Source organism: Homo sapiens, chromosome 13, assembly GCF_000001405.40.
Source record: "Homo sapiens chromosome 13, GRCh38.p14 Primary Assembly".
Lineage (NCBI taxonomy): Eukaryota > Metazoa > Chordata > Mammalia > Primates > Hominidae > Homo > Homo sapiens.
Window position 1 is genome coordinate 92,681,243 of NC_000013.11, and position 19,770 is coordinate 92,701,012.

The window sequence follows — 19,770 nt, forward strand, 5'->3', positions numbered from 1 at the left end:
TGTCTGGTATATCACAAGCTCTCAATAAACAGTTGTAGTATTGTTATTCAAATTGGTACACAGGCCTATCACTTCTCCTTCCTTTTAGATCTTTTTTTCCCTCTGTTCTCGCCTCTGAGTGCCCCAACCCAATCTCTCTTCCTCTGTCACCTTTTTAGGAAATCCATCCCCACCCAACTCACCCCACCACTCCTCACATTCCTTACATTCCTTTCTCTCCTACCCTGGCCTCCACCACAGCTCCTCCATCCCCACCTGTAATCCAGCCTCTACACGACTATCAGGGCTGTGGTTCTGAAAAGCAAATCTTATCATGTTGCACCTTACGACATCTTTGAATCACACCTACTTGTCTCATGATAAATTCTAAACTCTTCAGTTTTAGGCTGACCGTGACCATTTTTGGTCAGACCCTGTCCGTCTCGCCCTCCTAATTCTCATTTCTCTCTACCAAATACTCCACCCCTTGTTCTGAACAACGTGGTTCTGCTTTCATCTCTTCATACTTAAATTTTTTCCTAGACCCTTAACTTTGCTCACAATGTTCCTGCCATCTGGAATAGCATTTTCCCTGTTGGCCTAGAAAATTTGACTATTCCTTTGTGGTGGAATTCAGTCTTCACCTCCCCGTGAGTGACCTTCTTAGGACAAATTGACTGCATTTCATTTTGTAGTCTCACAGTTCATTAGGCAGTCTTCAAATGTCCAGTATGACAGTGCAAGATATTTGTTGTTTATATGCATATTTCCCCCACTGGCTTTGAGAAACTTGAGGGATTGTTGTAGCCATTTGTATCCCCAGTGTGTAGATGCATAGCATGCATCTATTTGTGTTTTGAATGAATGAGTGAATTAATGAATGATGAGAAAGCAATGACCTATGTTTTGTCTCTACCTCTTACATTATAAATAGACTGATTCAACTGAAGTTTCCAGTTCCTATTCCTTTTGCTGTTGTCATTGTATATGTTAGCAAAAAGCTTCATCCCTTTCAAAAATTTATTCTGTAATAGCAATAAATTCAGTGTCTTCTGGGAGCAACATTGTGCTCTCTCTCTCCCCGTTTTGCCTATTGCTACTTTGAAGAGTATGTGTTTATGACTTTATAGATTAATTTGTTAAAGTGCACGTAATAGGAGCCCTGCTATTTCTTCATAAGTGGTTATGAAAAAATATTCACACTTGCTTATGTTTTGTGAACATCTATATGTGGTGGAGCACATGTTATTATAATCTTATTTTAAGTGGAAATATAGATTTAAGGATTTTCTTTTACTGTTCTTAATGTAAAGCTTCTAAATTAGATATACATAAGCACTCATCTAGAAGATAATGGAAGCATAAGCAAAACACAGAAAAAGACTTGCCAAGAACAAATTATAACTAACAAACAAGTGTTAGTTTTATTGCAATACAATTACTGAATTAGTACATGATAGAACAAAAGATCTATAACAAGTTTAGATGTCAGTAATTTATCGGACACGGGTTGTATACATTGTACCTACAAAATTTTATCAAATAGTTTCTATTTCAAGAAATTTTCAGTTTATTCATGTTCAACACAAAAGTTAATTATACATGAAATATAAACTGAATGGAAAACACTGGCATTGTATTTCCTGGCTTTCTGGGAAGAATGTGGGAGTAGGGTTAATACTGAAATGCAAGACAAAGCTCTTTTCTCCTCTCCTTGTTCCCAGGATAGAACAAAATACACACGGCCAAGAATGAGGAAAGTAGGACAAAACCCAGTGTAGTCAAGAGAGTTATGACCCTGAGGTGTGAGGTAAGATCTGGCCCTGGGAGTGTTGACTGACACTGCAGTATTTAGTGTCTAGACTGGAATGATTAGATATGAAGTGGGTTAACTTGGGGTCTTTAGAGATGGCGCTATTCCCAGAAAGATAAATGAGATCCAGTCCTAGGACAAAAGGACAAGCATCATTGGTCAGAAAAAGAAAAAATGATTTAGAAAAAAAAGGAAAGAGAGAGAAAACGTAGAGGAGGAGAAGAAATCCCAAGGATGGAGACCAAAGGGTTTGCCAGACAGTCTGTTCCTTGGGAATGTGGGTTACATAGCAACCTGGAAGATGACGCTACTTCCAAGCCCAAGATTCTGTCTCCATGACTTAGCACACTAGTCATGAAGAAATAGAACACATCTTTCTCTTTCTAGATCTCATTCTCAGTTGAAGAACCGCTACTTATGGCCTGCTAGAGTGAAACTCATTTGTTCTAGGAATTAATGAAATTGGACCTGCTGGAGGCCTTTAATTATTATGTGGACATCAGAACTGATGAGGATTGATGTGGGTTATTTCAATAAAGTGTTATAAATAATTCATATATGAAAAATTTACTTTTTCTATTAATTTATAATTACATTAATATTGCATTTCAGTGTTGTTATTCAAACTAAAGACCATGTCAGTTCTTAGACACAATCTCTCACTGTGTATTAATCTGAATAAGACATTGTAGTAACCACATATATATATTACTTTTTGAGCTGTTTTAGGTTTCCAGGCAAAAATTAGTGAAAATTAAAGTGTGTGTCCAAAGACTCTCTCACTCCACCCCCATTTCTCCTATTTTTAACATCTCGTGGTATTTTTAACATTAGTATGTTACATTTGTTACAAGTGATGAGCCAATGTTGATAAATCATTTTTATCTGAAGTTCATAATTATATTAGGGTTCACTCTTTATGTTGTCCAGTATATGGATTTTAATAGATGTATAATAAGATGTACCCATCATGACAATATTACACAGAATAATAGTTTAACTGCCCTAAAAATCCCCTGTGCTCTACCTAGTTATTCCTCCTTTCTTTCCTCCCCAGGGGCCCCTCGAAATGACTGATCTTCTTACTGTCTGCACAGTTTTGCCTTTTTCAAAATGTCATATACTTGAAATCACATAGTATATAGGCTTTCATATTGGCTTCTTTCACTCAGTATTATGCATTTAAGGTTCTTCCATGCCTTTTTATGGCTTTCTTTCTCTTTTTTATTTTTTATTTTTTTTGTTTTTGTTTTTGAGACGGAGTCTTGCTCTGTCACCCAGGGTGGAGCGCAGTGGCACGATCTCAGCTCACTACAACCTCCACCTCCTGGGCTCAAGGGATTTTCCTGTCTCAGCCTCCTGAGCAGCTGGGACTACAGGCGTGCATCACCATGCCCAGCTAATTTTTGTATTTTTAGTAGAGACAGGATTTCACCATATTGGCCAGGCAGGTCTCGAACTCCTGACCTCGCGATCCACCCACCTCAGCTTCCCAAAGTGCTGGGATTACAGGCATGAGCCACCACACCCAGCCGGCTCTCTTTTTTTATATAGCACTGAATAATATTCCATTGTATGGCTACACCATAGAGTGTTTGTCTATTTGCCTATTGAAATGTACCTTGGTTGTTTCTCTTTTGGTAATTATGAATAACACTAGCATAAACACTTTTCTGCATGTTTTGTGGGGCATAAGTTTTCAACTCTTTTGGCAAATACCAAGGAGCATAATTAAGGAATCATATACTAAGAGTGTGCTTAGTGTCATAAGAAACTGCTAAACTGTCTTCCAAAGTGGATATACCATTTCGCATCCCCACTAGCAATGAATAAGAATTATTTCTGCTCATTGTTTTACCAGCACTCAGTAGTATTGGTATTTTGGATTTTGGCCATTATAATAGGTATGTAGTAGCAAATCATTGTTTTAGTTTGCAATTTTCTAATGACATATGATGTTGAGCATCTTTTCATGTGCTTATTTACCATTAGTAGTATGCTGCCATCAGTAATTTTCCTTTCCCTTTCCATTGCCAGTGAGATCCAGTAGTTCTATTTATTTATTTATTTATTTGAGATGTAGTCTCACTCTGTCACCCATGCTAGAGTGCAGTGGTGCAATCTCAGCTCAACTGCAACCTCCATCTCACGGGTTCAAGCAATTCTCCCTGCCTCAGCCTCCTGAGTAGCTGTGATTACAGGCACCCACCACCATGCCCAGCTGATTTTTGTATTTTTTTAGTAGAGAAGGGGTTTTGCCACGCTGGCCAGGCTAATCTTGAACTCCTGACCTTGGGTGATCCACCCTCCTCAGCCTCCCAAAGTACTAGGATTACAGGCATGAGCCACTGTAGCCAGCCAGATCTAATATTTCTTAATGGAAACTAAAACTTCACCTGTTACCACATTTTTCCACATATATTTGTAATAAGTTCTGATGTCTGATAAGGCAAGTCTGACCCTCTGCATTTTAAAAAAATAATCAAGTTATTTATGAAAAATTATGCTCATTTTTTTTTTTTTTAATTTTTTTTTTTTTTATTATACTCTAAGTTTTAGGGTACATGTGCACATTGTGCAGGTTAGTTACATATGTATACATGTGCCATGCTGGTGCGCTGCACCCACTAACATGTCATCTAGCATTAGGTATATCTCCCAATGCTATCCCTCCCCCCTCCCCCGACCCCACCACAGTCCCCAGAGTGTGATATTCCCCTTCCTGTGTCCAAGTGATCTCATTGTTCAGTTCCCACCTATGAGTGAGAATATGCGGTGTTTGGTTTTTTGTTCTTGCGATAGTTTACTGAGAATGATGGTTTCCAATTTCATCCATGTCCCTACAAAGGACATGAACTCATCATTTTTTATGGCTGCATAGTATTCCATGGTGTATATGTGCCACATTTTCTTAATCCAGTCTATCATTGTTGGACATTTGGGTTGGTTCCAAGTCTTTGCTATTGTGAATAATGCCGCAATAAACATACGTGTGCATGTGTCTTTATAGCAGCATGATTTATAGTCCTTTGGGTATATACCCAGTAATGGGATGGCTGGGTCAAATGGTATTTCTAGTTCTAGATCCCTGAGGAATCGCCACACTGACTTCCACAATGGTTGAACTAGTTTACAGTCCCACCAACAGTGTAAAAGTGTTCCTATTTCTCCACATCCTCTCCAGCACCTGTTGTTTCCTGACTTTTTAATGATTACCATTCTAACTGGTGTGAGATGATATCTCATAGTGGTTTTGATTTGCATTTCTCTGACGGCCAGTGATGATGAGCATTTCTTCATGTGTTTTTTGGCTGCATAAATGTCTTCTTTTGAGAAGTGTCTGTTCATGTCCTTCGCCCACTTTTTGATGGGGTTGTTTGTTTTTTTCTTGTAAATTTGTTTGAGTTCATTGTAGATTCTGGATATTAGCCCTTTGTCAGATGAGTAGGTTGCGAAAATTTTCTCCCATGTTGTAGGTTGCCTGTTCACTCTGATGGTAGTTTCTTTTGCTGTGCAGAAGCTCTTTAGTTTAATTAGATCCCATTTGTCAATTTTGGCTTTTGTTGCCATTGCTTTTGGTGTTTTGGACATGAAGTCCTTGCCCACGCCTATGTCCTGAATGGTAATGCCTAGGTTTTCTTCTAGGGTTTTTATGGTTTTAGGTCTAACGTTTAAATCTTTAATCCATCTTGAATTGATTTTTGTATAAGGTGTAAGGAAGGGATCCAGTTTCAGCTTTCTACATATGGCTAGCCAGTTTTCCCAGCACCATTTATTAAATAGGGAATCCTTTCCCCATTGCTTGTTTTTCTCAGGTTTGTCAAAGATCAGATAGTTGTAGATATGTGGCATTATTTCTGAGGGCTCTGTTCTGTTCCATTGATCTATATCTCTGTTTTGGTACCAGTACCATGCTGTTTTGGTTACTGTAGCCTTGTAGTATAGTTTGAAGTCAGGTAGTGTGATGCCTCCAGCTTTGTTCTTTTGGCTTAGGATTGACTTGGCGATGCGGGCTCTTTTTTGGTTCCATATGAACTTTAAAGTACTTTTTTCCAATTCTGTGAAGAAAGTCATTGGTAGCTTGATGGGGATGGCATTGAATCTGTAAATTACCTTGGGCAGTATGGCCATTTTCACGATATTGATTCTTCCTACCCATGAGCATGGAATGTTCTTCCATTTGTTTGTGTCCTCTTTTATTTCCTTGAGCAGTGGTTTGTAGTTCTCCTTGAAGAGGTCCTTCACATCCCTTGTAAGTTGGATTCCTAGGTATTTTATTCTCTTTGAAGCAATTGTGAATGGGAGTTCACTCATGATTTGGCTCTCTGTTTGTCTGTTGTTGGTGTATAAGAATGCTTGTGATTTTTGTACATTGATTTTGTATCCTGAGACTTTGCTGAAGTTGCTTATCAGCTTAAGGAGATTTTGGGCTGAGACAATGGGGTTTTCTAGATAAACAATCATGTCGTCTGCAAACAGGGACAATTTGACTTCCTCTTTTCCTAATTGAATACCCTTTATTTCCTTCTCCTGCCTGATTGCCCTGGCCAGAACTTCCAACACTATGTTGAATAGGAGCGGTGAGAGAGGGCATCCCTGTCTTGTGCCAGTTTTCAAAGGGAATGCTTCCAGTTTTTGCCCATTCAGTATGATATTGGCTGTGGGTTTGTCATAGATAGCTCTTATTATTTTGAAATACGTCCCATCAATACCTAATTTATTGAGAGTTTTTAGCATGAAGGGTTGTTGAATTTTGTCAAAGGCTTTTTCTGCATCTATTGAGATAATCATGTGGTTTTTGTCTTTGGCTCTGTTTATATGCTGGATTACATTTATTGATTTGCGTATATTGAACCAGCCTTGCATCCCAGGGATGAAGCCCACTTGATCATGGTGGATAAGCTTTTTGATGTGCTGCTGGATTCGGTTTGCCAGTATTTTATTGAGGATTTTTGCATCAATGTTCATCAAGGATATTGGTCTAAAATTCTCTTTTTTGGTTGTGTCTCTGCCCTGCTTTGGTATCAGAATGATGCTGGGCTCATAAAATGAGTTAGGGAGGATTCCCTCTTTTTCTATTGATTGGAATAGTTTCAGAAGGAATGGTACCAGTTCCTCCTTGTACCTCTGGTAGAATTCGGCTGTGAATCCATCTGGTCCTGGACTCTTTTTGGTTGGTAAACTATTGATTATTGCCACAATTTCAGAGCCTGTTATTGGTCTATTCAGAGATTCAACTTCTTCCTGGTTTAGTCTTGGGAGAGTGTATGGGTCGAGGAATGTATCCATTTCTTCTAGATTTTCTAGTTTATTTGCGTAGAGGTGTTTGTAGTATTCTCTGATGGTAGTTTGTATTTCTGTGGGATCGGTGGTGATATCCCCTTTATCATTTTTTATTGTGTCTATTTGATTCTTCTCTCTTTTTTTCTTTATTAGTCTTGCTAGCGGTCTATCAATTTTGTTGATCCTTTCAAAAAACCAGCTCCTGGATTCATTGATTTTTTGAAGGGTTTTTTGTGTCTCTATTTCCTTCAGTTCTGCTCTGATTTTAGTTATTTCTTGCTTTCTGCTAGCTTTTGAATGTGTTTGCTCTTGCTTTTCTAGTTCTTTTAATTGTGATGTTAGGGTGTCAATTTTGGATCTTTCCTGCTTTCTCTTGTAGGCATTTAGTGCTATAAATTTCCCTCTACACACTGCTTTGAATGCGTCCCAGAGATTCTGGTATGTGGTGTCTTTGTTCTCGTTGGTTTCAAAGAACATCTTTATTTCTGCCTTCATTTCGTTATGTACCCAGTAGTCATTCAGGAGCAGGTTGTTCAGTTTCCATGTAGTTGAGCGGCTTTGAGTGAGATTCTTAATCCTGAGTTCTAGTTTGATTGCACTGTGGTCTGAGAGATAGTTTGTTATAATTTCTGTTCTTTTACATTTGCTGAGGAGAGCTTTACTTCCAACTATGTGGTCAATTTTGGAATAGGTGTGGTGTGGTGCTGAAAAAAATGTATATTCTGTTGATTTGGGGTGGAGAGTTCTGTAGATGTCTATTAGGTCTGCTTGGTGCAGAGCTGAGTTCAATTCCTGGGTATCCTTGTTGACTTTCTGTCTCGTTGATCTGTCTAATGTTGACAGTGGGGTGTTAAAGTCTCCCATTATTAATGTGTGGGAGTCTAAGTCTCTTTGTAGGTCACTCAGAACTTGCTTTATGAATCTGGGTGCTCCTGTATTGGGTGCATAAATATTTAGGATAGTTAGCTCCTCTTGTTGAATTGATCCCTTTACCATTATGTAATGGCCTTCTTTGTCTCTTTTGATCTTTGTTGGTTTAAAGTCTGTTTTATCAGAGACTAGGATTGCAACCCCTGCCTTTTTTTGTTTTCCATTGGCTTGGTAGATCTTCCTCCATCCTTTTATTTTGAGCCTATGTGTGTCTCTGCACGTGAGATGGGTTTCCTGAATACAGCACACTGATGGGTCTTGGCTCTTTATCCAACTTGCCAGTCTGTGTCTTTTAATTGCAGAATTTAGTCCATTTATATTTAAAGTTAATATTGTTATGTGTGAATTTGATCCTGTCATTATGATGTTAGCTGGTGATTTTGCTCATTAGTTGATGCAGTTTCTTCCTAGTCTCGATGGTCTTTACATTTTGGCATGATTTTGCAGCGGCTGGTACCGGTTGTTCCTTTCCATGTTTAGCGCTTCCTTCAGGAGCTCTTTTAGGGCAGGCCTGGTGGTGACAAAATCTCTCAGCATTTGCTTGTCTATAAAGTATTTTATTTCTCCTTCACTTATGAAGCTTAGTTTGGCTGGATATGAAATTCTGGGTTGAAAATTCTTTTGTTTAAGAATGTTGAATATTGGCCCCCACTCTCTTCTGGCTTGTAGGGTTTCTGCCGAGAGATCCGCTGTTAGTCTGATGGGCTTTCCTTTGAGGGTAACCCGACCTTTCTCTCTGGCTGCCCTTAACATTTTTTCCTTCATTTCAACTTTGGTGAATCTGACAATTATGTGTCTTGGAGTTGCTCTTCTCGAGGAGTATCTTTGTGGCGTTCTCTGTATTTCCTGAATCTGAACGTTGGCCTGCCTTGCTAGATTGGGGAAGTTCTCCTGGATAATATCCTGCAGAGTGTTTTCCAACTTGGTTCCATTCTCCACATCACTTTCAGGTACACCAATCAGACGTAGATTTGGTCTTTTCACATAGTCCCATATTTCTTGGAGGCTTTGCTCATTTCTTTTTATTCTTTTTTCTCTAAACTTCCCTTCTCGCTTCATTTCATTCATTTCATCTTCCATTGTTGATACCCTTTCCTCCAGTTGATCGCATCAGCTCCTGAGGCTTCTGCATTCTTCACGTAGTTCTCGAGCCTTGGTTTTCAGCTCCATCAGCTCCTTTAAGCACTTCTCTGTATTGGTTATTCTAGTTATACATTCTTCTAAATTTTTTTCAAAGTTTTCAACTTCTTTGCCTTTGGTTTGAATGTCCTCCCGTAGCTCAGAGTAATTTGATCGTCTGAAGCCTTCTTCTCTCAGCTCGTCAAAATAATTCTCCATCCAGCTTTGTTCTGTTGCTGGTGAGGAACTGCGTTCCTTTGGAGGAGGAGAGGCGCTCTGCGTTTTACAGTTTCCAGTTTTTCTGTTCTGTTTTTTCCCCATCTTTGTGGTTTTATCTACTTTTGGTCTTTGATGATGGTGATGTACAGATGGGTTTTTGGTGTAGATGTCCTTTCTGGTTGTTAGTTTTCCTTCTAACAGACAGGACCCTCAGCTGCAGGTCTGTTGGAATACCCTGCCGTGTGAGGTGTCAGTGTGCCCCTGCTGGGGGGTGCCTCCCAGTTAGGCTGCTCAGGGGTCAGGGGTCAGGGACCCACTTGAGGAGGCAGTCTGCCCATTCTCAGATCTCCAGCTGAGTGCTGGGAGAACCACTGCTCTCTTCAAAGCTGTCAGACAGGGACACTTAAGTCTGCAGAGGTTACTGCTGTCTTTTTGTTTGTCTGTGCCCTGCCCCCAGAGGTGGAGCCTACAGAGGCAGGCAGGCCTCCTTGAGCTGTGGTGGGCTCCACCCAGTTCGAGCTTCCAGGCTGCTTTGTTTACCTAAGCAAGCCTGGGCAATGGCGGGTGCCCCTCCCCCAGCCTCGTTGCCGCCTTGCAGTTTGATCTCAGACTGCTGTGCTAGCAATCAGCGAGATTCCGTGGGCTAGGACCCTCTGAGCCAGGTGTGGGATATAGTCTCATGGTGCGCCGTTTCTTAAGCCGGTCTGAAAAGCGCAATATTCGGGTGGGAGTGACCCGATTTTCCAGGTGCGTCCGTCACCCCTTTCTTTGACTCGGAAAGGGAACTCCCTGACCCCTTGCGCTTCCCAGGTGAGGCAATGCCTCGCCCTGCTTCGGCTCGCGCACGGTGCGCACACACACTGGCCTGCGCCCACTGTCTGGCACTCCCTAGTGAGATGAACCCGGTACCTCAGATGGAAATGCAGAAATCACCCGTCTTCTGCGTCGCTCACGCTGGGAGCTGTAGACCGGAGCTGTTCCTATTCGGCCATCTTGGCTCCTCCCTCAATTATGCTCATTTTAGAATCAAATATTTTATTAAAATCAATGACCATATTAGATTTATTGGAAAAATAATGTAATTTAATATTAAATTATCACATTCATTAACATGACATAATTCTCCACTTATTTGGATTTCCTTTAAGATCAATTCCTAAAATTTTCTATATAGATGGTTTTAGGGTTTTTTTTTTTTATACCTTAAACTACAAGATACTTTATAGTGTCCCAATTTTTATTACAGTTTTACACCTTCAATTCAATTATTGCTGATATGGAAAAACTTTTTATCAATATCTATTTTAGATTTAGTGGGTACATATACAGGTTTTTTACATGGGATACTGCTTGATGCTGAGGTTTGGAGTACAAATATTTCCATTAACCAGATGGTGAGCATAATATGGAACAGTTAATTTTTCAACCCTTGTCCCTCTCCTTCCCTCCCCCATCTAATAGTCTTCAGTGTCTATTGTTCCCACCTTTATATCCATGTGTACCCTATGTTTAGCTCCCACTTACAAATGAGAAATTACTGTATTTATCTATCTGTTTCTGAGTTAGTTCACTTAGGATAATGGTCTCCAGCTACATCCATGTTGCTGCAAAGAACATGACTTCATTTTTTTTATGGCTGCATAGTATTACATGGTGTACCTACACCACATTTTCTTGATCCAGTTCACCGATGAGGGACACCTGAGTTGATTCCCTTTCTTTGCTATTGTGAATAGTGCTGCAATGAATATACAGGTGCAAATGTCTTTTGGTAAAATGACTTATTTTCTTTTAGATATATACCCAGTAATGTGATTGCTGGGTCAAATGGTAATTCAGCTCTTATTTCTTTGAGAAATCTCCAAACTGCTCTCCACAGTAGCTGAACTAATTTACATTCCCATCACACACAGGAAGGGGAACATCACACTCTGGGGACTGTTGTGGGGTGGGGGGAGGGGGGAGGGATAGCATTGGGAGATATACCTAATGCTAGATGATGAGTTAGTGGGTGCAGTACACCAGCATGGCACATGTATACATGTGTAACTAACCTGCACATTGTGCACATGTACCCTAAAACTTAAAGTATAATAATAAATTAAAAAAAACAAAACAAAACAGTGTACGTGTGTTCCCTTTCCTCCAAAGCCTCACCAATATCGGCTATTTTTTTTTTTTTTTTTTTTTTACATTTTACCAAAAGCCACTCTGACTGGTGGAGGATATCTCACTGTGGTTTGGATTTGCATTTTTTTGCTGATTAGTGATTATAAGCACTAATATGGTTTGGCTCTGCGTCCCCACCCAAATCTCATCTCAAATTGTAATACCCAGGTATTGAGGGAGAGACCTGGTGGGAGGTGATTAAATCATGGGGGTGGTTTCCCTCATACTATTCTCATGACAATGAGTGGGTTCTAATAATATCTGATGGTTAAAAAGTGTTTGGCAGTTCCTAGCTCTCTCTCTGTCCTGCTGTCATGTAAGACATGGGCCTTGATTCCCCTTCACCTTCCACCATGATTGTAAGTTTCCTGAGGCCTTCCCAGCCATACAGGACTATGAACCAATTAAACCTTTTTCCTTTTAAAATTGCCCAGTCTCAGGTAGTTCTTTATAGCAATGTGAAATGGACTAATATAGGAAATGGGTACCAGGAGTGTGGCACTGCTATAAAGTTAACCTGAAAATGTGGAGGCGACATTGGAACTGGGTAATGGACAGAGGTTGGAACAGTTTAGAAGGCTCATAATAAGATAGGAGGATGTGGGAAAATTTCGAACTTCCTAGAGACTTGTTGGATGGTTTTGACTAACATGCTGATAGTAATATGAAAAGTGAAGTTCAGGCTGAGGTGGTCTCAGGTGGAGATAAGTAACTTACTGGAAACTGGAGTAAAGGTCACTCTTGCTATGCTTTAGAAAAGAGACTGGTGACATTTTGCTCTTCCCTAGAGATCTATGGAAATTTGGACTTGAGAGAGATAATTTAGGGCATCTGGTGGAAGAAATTTCTAAGCAGCAAAGTATTCAAGCGGTGACCTGGCTGATTCTGAGAGCATTCAGTCATACATGTTCGCAAAGAGAGTATCTGAAACTGAAACTTTTATTTAAAAGGGAAGAGAGCATAAAAGTTTGGAAAATTTACAGCCTGACCATGAGGTAGAAAATAAAAACCCATTTTCTGGGGAGAAATTCAATCCACCTGCACAAATTTGCATAAGTAAATGAGGAGCCAAATGTTAATAGCCAAGACAATGGAGAAAATGTCTCCAGGGCATGTCGAGATCTTCACGACAGCCCCTTCCATCACTGGTTCAGAGGCCTTGAAGGGAAAAATGATTTCATGGGTCAGGCCCAGGGCCCTGCTACTCTGTGCAGACTCAGGACTTGGTGCCCTGCAACCCAGCAGCTCCAGCTGCAGATATAGCTAAAAGGGGCCCAGGTGCAACTGGGGCTGTTGCTTCAGAGTGTGCAAGACCCAAACCTTGGTGGCTTCCATGTGGGGTTGGGCCTGCAGGTATGCAGAAGACAAGGGAGCACAATGCCTAGATTTCAAAGGATGTATGGAAATGCCTGGATGTCCAGGCAGAAGTCTGCTGCAGAGGCAGGGCCCTCATGGAGAACCTCTACTAGGGCAATGAAGAGGAAAAATGTGTAGGTTGTTTCTCCTAAACAGAGATACCACTAGGGCACTGCCTAGTGGAGCTGTGAGAAAGGGGCCACCATCCTCCAGACCCCACCAACAGCTTGCACATGCACCTGGAAAAGCCTCAGGTGCTCATTGCCAGCCTGTGAAAGCAGCTGCAGGGGCTGTACTCTGCAGAGCCACAGGGGAGGAGCTGCCCAAGGGCTTGGGAACCTAGTGTTTGCATTAGCATCCCTTGATGCAAGACATAGACTCAAAGGAGATTATTTCAAAGCTTTAAGATTTAATGACTGCCTCTCTGTATTTTGGATTTGCATGGGCCTGTCATCCCTTTACTTTGGCCAATTTCTCCAATTTGCAATGAGAATATTTACCCGGTGCCTGTACCCACATTGCATCCTAGAAGTAACTAATTTGTGTTTGATTTTAAAGGCTCATAGATGAAAGTGACTTCCCTCATCTCAGAGGAGACTTTGGACTTAGACTTTTGGGTTAATGCTGCAGTGAGTTAAAACTTTGGGGGATTCTTGGGAAGACATGATTGTGTTTTGAAATGTGAAAATGACCTGAGATTTCAGAGGGGGGCATGGGCAGAATGATATGGTTTGGCTCTGTGTCCCCACTCAAATTCCATCTCCTACTGTAATCCCCACGTGTTGAGGGAGAGACTAGGAGGGAGGTGATTAGATCGGTGTAGGGTGGGGTCCCCCATGTTGTTCTTGTGATAGTGAGTTCTTATTGTTTAAAAGTGTTTGACAGTTCCTACGTCACTCTCTCTCTCCTGCTTCTATGTAAGAAGTGCGTTGCTTCCCCTTCACCTTCTGCCATAATGTAAGTCTCATGAGGCCTCCCTAGCCATGCAGAACTGTGAGTCAATTAAACCTCTTTCCTTTATAAATTATCCAAACTCAGGCAGTTCTTTATATCTGTGTGAAAAGGGACGACTACAAGCAGTTTTTCATGCTTGTTGGCCACTTGTATGTCTTCTTTTGATAACTGTTTGTTCATATTTTTTGCTCACTTTTTAATGGGGTTATTTGGCTTTTGATTGTTAATTTAAGTTCCTTATAGATTCTAGATATTAGACCTTGCATAGTTTGCAGATATTCATTTTGAATATTTGTGTGTGTGGTTGTTCATCACTTATTAACACCCTTGTAAAATTTGCTTATAAGTCCTGATGGCATTGTGTTTATTTGATTAGCCTTTTCTATGGGTGATAACAGCATCTCCAAAAGGTAATAGATTGTATTTCCTTCCAAGTATTTATATCTGTTTTTTTTTCATCTTGTGAAATTTGCCAAGCTCTCCAATACTATGCCCAGAAGAAGTGATATTGATGATCATCGTATCTTTTCCCTTAATTAAAGGGAATGCCCTAAAATAATTATATTAGTACATACAACAGACTTTTGGTAGGACTTATGAAGTTGAAGAAGTTCTCTTGTATTAAAAATTTTATGAGTTTTTTTTTTTTTTAGTTATTATAAGTTCTGGGGTACATGTGCAGAAAGTGCAGGTTTGTTACATAGGTATACATGTGCCATGGTTGTTTGTGGCACCTATCAACCCATCATCTACATTAGGTATTTCTCCTGTTATTATCCCTCCCCTAGTCCCCCATCCCATGACAGGCCCCGGTGTGTGGTGTTCCCCTCCCTGTGACCATGTGTTCTCATTGTCCAACTACCTATGAGTGAGAACATGCTGTGTTTGGTTTTTTGTTCCTGTGTTAGTTTGCTGAGAATGACAGTTTCCAGCCTCATCCACGTCCCTGAAAAGGACATGAACTCATCCTTTTTTATGGCTGCATAGTATTCCATGGTGTATATGTGCCACCTTTCTTTATCCAGTCTATCGTTGATGGGCATTTGGGTTGGTTCCAAGTCTTTGCTATTGTGAACAGTGCCACAATTAACATACGTGTGCATGTGTCTTTACAGCAGCATGATTTATAATCCTTTGGGTATATACTCAGTAATGGGATTGCTTGGTGAAATGGCATTTCTAGTTCTAGATCCTTGAGGAATCATCCCACTGTCTTCCACAATGGTGCAATAATTTACACTCCCACTAACAGTGTAAAAGCATTCTTATTTCTCCACATCCTCTCCAGCATCTGTTGTTTCCTGACTTTTTAATGACCGCCATTCTAACTGGCATGAGATGGTATCTCACTGTGGTTTTGATTTGCATTTCTCTAATGACCAGTGATGATTAGCTTTTTTAAATATGTTAGTTGGCTGCATATATGTCTTCTTTTGAGAAGCATCTGTTCATAGCCTTCGCCCACTTTTTGATGGGGTTGTTTGTTTTTTTCTTGTAAATTTGTGTAAGTTATTTGTAGATCCTGGATATTAGCCCTTTGTCAGTTGGATAGATTGCAAAAATTTTCTCCCATTCTGTAGGTTGCCTGTTCATTCTGATGAAAGTTTCTTTTGCTGTGAAGAAGCTCTTCAGTGTAATAAGATCCCATTTATCAATTTTGGCTTTTGTTGCCCTTGCTTTTGGTGTTTTAGTCATGAAGTCTTTGCCCATGCCTACATCTTGAATGGTATTGCCTATGTTTTATTCTGGGGTTTTTATGGTTTTAGGTCTTATGTTTAAGTCTTCAATCCATCTTGAGTCAATTTCTGTATGAGGCATAAGGAAGGGATCCAGTTTCAGCTTTCTGCATATGGCTAGCCAGTTTTCCCAACACCATTTATTAAATAGGGAATCCTTTCCCCATTGCTTGTTTTTGTCAAGTTTGTCAAAGATCTGATGGTTGTAGATGTGTGGCATGATTTCTGAGGCCTCTGTTCTGTTCCATTGGTCTATATATCTGTTTTGGTAGCAGTACCATGCTGTTTTGGTTACTGTAGCCTTGTAGCATAGTTTGAAGTCAGGTAGCGTGATGCCTCCAGCTTTGTTCTTTTTGCTTAGGGTTGTCTTGGCTATGTGGGCTCTTTTTTGGTTCCATATGAAATTTAAAGTAATTTTTTCCAATTCTGTGAAGAAAGTCAATGGTAGTTTGATGGGGATAGCATTGAATCTATAAATTAATTTGGGCAGTACAGCCATTTTCACGATATTGATTCTTCCTATCCATGAGCACGGAATGTTTTTCCATTTATCTGTGTCCTCTCTTATTTCCTTGTGCAGTGGTTTGTAGTTCTCCTTGAAGAGGTACTTCACAACCCTTGTAAATTGTATTCCTAGGTATTTTATTCTCTTTTTAGCAATTGTTAATGGGATTTCACTCATGACTTGGCTATTTGTCTGCTCTTAGTGTATAGGAATGCTTGTGATTTTTGCACATTGATTGTCTATCCTGAGACTTTGCTGAAGTTGTTTATCAGCTTAAGGAGATTTTGGGCTGAGACGAAAGGGTTTTCTAAATATACAATCATGTCATCTGCAAACAGAGACAATTTGAGTTCCTCTTTTCCTAATTTGAATACCCTTTATTTATTTCTCTTACCTGATTGCCCTGGCCAGAGCTTCCAACACTATGTTGAATAGGAGTGGTGAGAGAGGGCATCCTTGTCTTGTGCCAGTTTTCAAAGGGAATGCTTCCAGTTTTTGCCCATTCAGTATGATACTGGATGTGGGTTTGTCATAAATAGCTCTTATTATTTTGAGAGACATTCCATCAATACCTAGTTTATTGAGAGTTTTTAGCATGAAAGGCTGTTGAATTTTGTCTAAGGCCTTTACTGTATCTATTGAGATAATCATGTGGTTTTTGTCACTGGTTCTGTTTATGTGATGATGGATTACGTTTATTGATTTGTGTATGTTGAACCAGTCTTGCATCCCAGGGACGAAGCTGACTTGATCATGGTGGATAAGCTTTTTGATGTGCTGCTGGAATTGGCTTGCCAGTATTTTATTGAGGACTTTCACATCGATGTTCATCAGGGATATTGGCCTGAAATTTTCTTTTTTTCTTTTTTTTTAATTATACTTTAAGATTTAGGGTACATGTGCACAACGTGCACGTTAGTTACATATGTATACATGTGCCATGTTGGTGTGCTGCACCCATTAACTCAACATTTAACATTAGGTGTATCTCCTAATGCTATCCCGCCCCTCTCTCCCCACCCCACAACAGGCACTGGTGTGTGATGTTCCCCTTCCTGTGTCCATGTGTTCTCATTGTTCAATTCCCACCTATGAGTGAGAACATGCAGTGTTTGGTTTTTTGTCCTTGCGATAGTTTGCTGAGAATGATGGTTTCCAGCTTCATCCATGTCCCTACAAAGGACATGAACTCATCATTTTTTATGGCTGCATAGTATTCCATGATGTATATGTGCCACATTTTCTTAATCCAGTCTATCATTTTGAACATTCGGGTTGGTTCCAAGTCTTTGCTATTGTGAACAGTGCCGCAATAAACATATGTGTGCATGTGTCTTTATAGCAGCATGATTTATAATCCTTTGGGTTTATACCCAGTAATGGGATTGCTGGGTCAAATGGTATTTCTAGTTCTAGATCCCTGAGGAAGCACCACACCGACTTCCACAATGGTTGAACTAGTTTACAGTCCCACCAACAGTGTAAAAGTGTTCCTGTTTCTCCACATCCTCTCCAGCACCTGTTGTTTCCTGACTTTTTAATGATCGCCATTCTAACTGGTGTGAGATAGTATCTCATTGTGGTTTTGATTTTCTTTTTTATTGTGTCTCTGCCAGGTTTTGGTATCAGGATGATGCTGGTCTCATCAAATGAGTTAGGGATAGCTGTTGTTTAGAATAGTTTCAGAAGAAATGGTACCAGCTCGTTTTTGTACCTCTGGTAGCATTTGGCTGTGAATCCGTCTGGTCCTAGACTTTTTTTTTGGTTGGTAGGCTATTAATTGCTGCCTCAATTTCAGAACTTGTTACTGGTCTATTCAGGGATTCGACTTCTTCCTGGTTTAGTCTTGGGAGGGTGTATATGTCCAGGAACTTATCCATTTCTTCTAGATTTTCTAGTTTATTTGCATAGAAGTGTTTATAGTATTCTATGATGCTAGTTTTTATTTCTGTTGGATTGGTGTTGATATCCCCTTTATCATTTTTTATTCCATCTATTAGATTCTTCTATCTTTTCTTCTTTATAAGTCTGGCTAGTGGTCTATCAATTGTGTTGATCTTTTCAGAAATCCTGTTCCTGGATTCATTGAGTTTTTGAAGGGTTTTTTGTGTCTCTCTCTCTTTCAGTTCTGTTCTGATCTTACTTATTTCTTGACTTCTGCTAGCTTTTGAATTTGTTTGTTCCTGCTTCTCTAGTTCTTTTAAATGTGATGTTAGGGTGGCGATTTTAGATCTTTCCTGCTTTCTCTTGTGGGCATTTAGTACTATAAATTTCCCTCTACATACTGCTTTAAATGTGTCCCAAAGATTGTGGTACGTTGTGTCTTTGTTCTTGTTGGTCTCAAAGAACATCTTTATTTCTGCCTTCATTTCGTTATTTTCCCAGTAGTCATTCAGGAGCAGGTTGTTCAGTTTCCATGTAGTTGTGCAATTTTGAGTGAGTTTCTTAATCCTGAGTTCTAATTTGATTGCACTGTGGTCTGATAGACAGTTTGTTATGATTTCCGTTCTTTTGCATTTGCTGAGAAGTGTTTTACTTCCAATGATGTGGTCAACTTTAGAATAAGTGCAGTGTGGTGCTGAGAAGAATGTATATTCTGTTGATTTGGAGTGGAGAGATCTGTAGATGTCTATTAGGTCCACTTGTTCCAGAGATGAGTTCAAATCCTGGATATCCTTGTTAATATTCTGACTTGTTGATCTGTCTAATATTGACAGTGGTGTCTTAAAGTCTCCCACTATTATTGTGTGGGAGTCTAAGTATCTTTGTAGGTTTCTAAGAACTTGCTTTATGAATCTGGGTGCTCTTGTATTGGGTGCATATATTTTGGATAGTTAATTCTTCTTGTTGCATTGATCTCTTTACCATTATGTAATGCCCTTATTTGTCTCTTTTGAACTTTGTTGGTTTGAAGTCTGTTTTATCAGAGACTGGGATTGCAACCCCTGCATTTTTTTTTTTTTTTTTTTTGGCTTTCCATTTGCTTGGTAAATATTCCTCCATCCCTTTATTTTGAGCCTATGTGTGTCTTTGCACATGAGATGGGTCTCCTGCATACAGCACTCTGATGGGTCTTGATTCTTTATTCAATTTGCCAGTCTGTGTCTTTTAATTGGGGCAATTAGCCCATTTACATTTAAGGTTAATAGTGTTAGGTATGCATTTAATCCTGCCATTATGAAGCCTAGCTGATTATTTTGCCCACTAGTTGATGCAGTTTCTTCATAGCATCAATGTTCTTTACAATTTGGTATGAGTTTTTAACAAATAAATACTGGACTTTTTCAAATGTGTTTCTGCTTCTATTGCAATGCTGCCTAAATTTTCTCTTGAAGTCAAGTCTATGAATGTGTTGAATTAACTTGTTACATTTTCTTATGTTGAACCATCTATTTAGCATACATTTATGACCATAGCTTGTCTCCAGCTTTTCTCTGAGGTTACCCTGCCACATTTGACAGATGTGTTTTCTTGCCTCATGATAGAAAATGAGGAGAAAATTAGGCACTGTTTTGCCCTGATACATACAAAAAAGGGAAAATAGTTTAGCTGCAAAATTTTCCATTCAGATCATTCTCTGTCTTTGGCATCTAGTCTACATCTTCTTCAGGTTACAGGTATCTTTCTTAGGGTTTCTTCTGGGTTTTGTGTTAGTTTCTGATTGTGGTGATGAAATTCACATGATAGACTGTAATATTCTTCCCAAT

General features: G+C 39.7%; 1 protein-coding gene across 2 annotated transcripts in view; it reads left to right on the forward strand.

The window, feature by feature from the left end:
- GPC5 (glypican 5) overlaps positions 1-19,770 on the forward strand; it is a 1,468,617-nt gene that overhangs the window by 1,282,622 nt on the left and 166,225 nt on the right. The gene's annotated exons all lie outside the window — the stretch shown is intronic.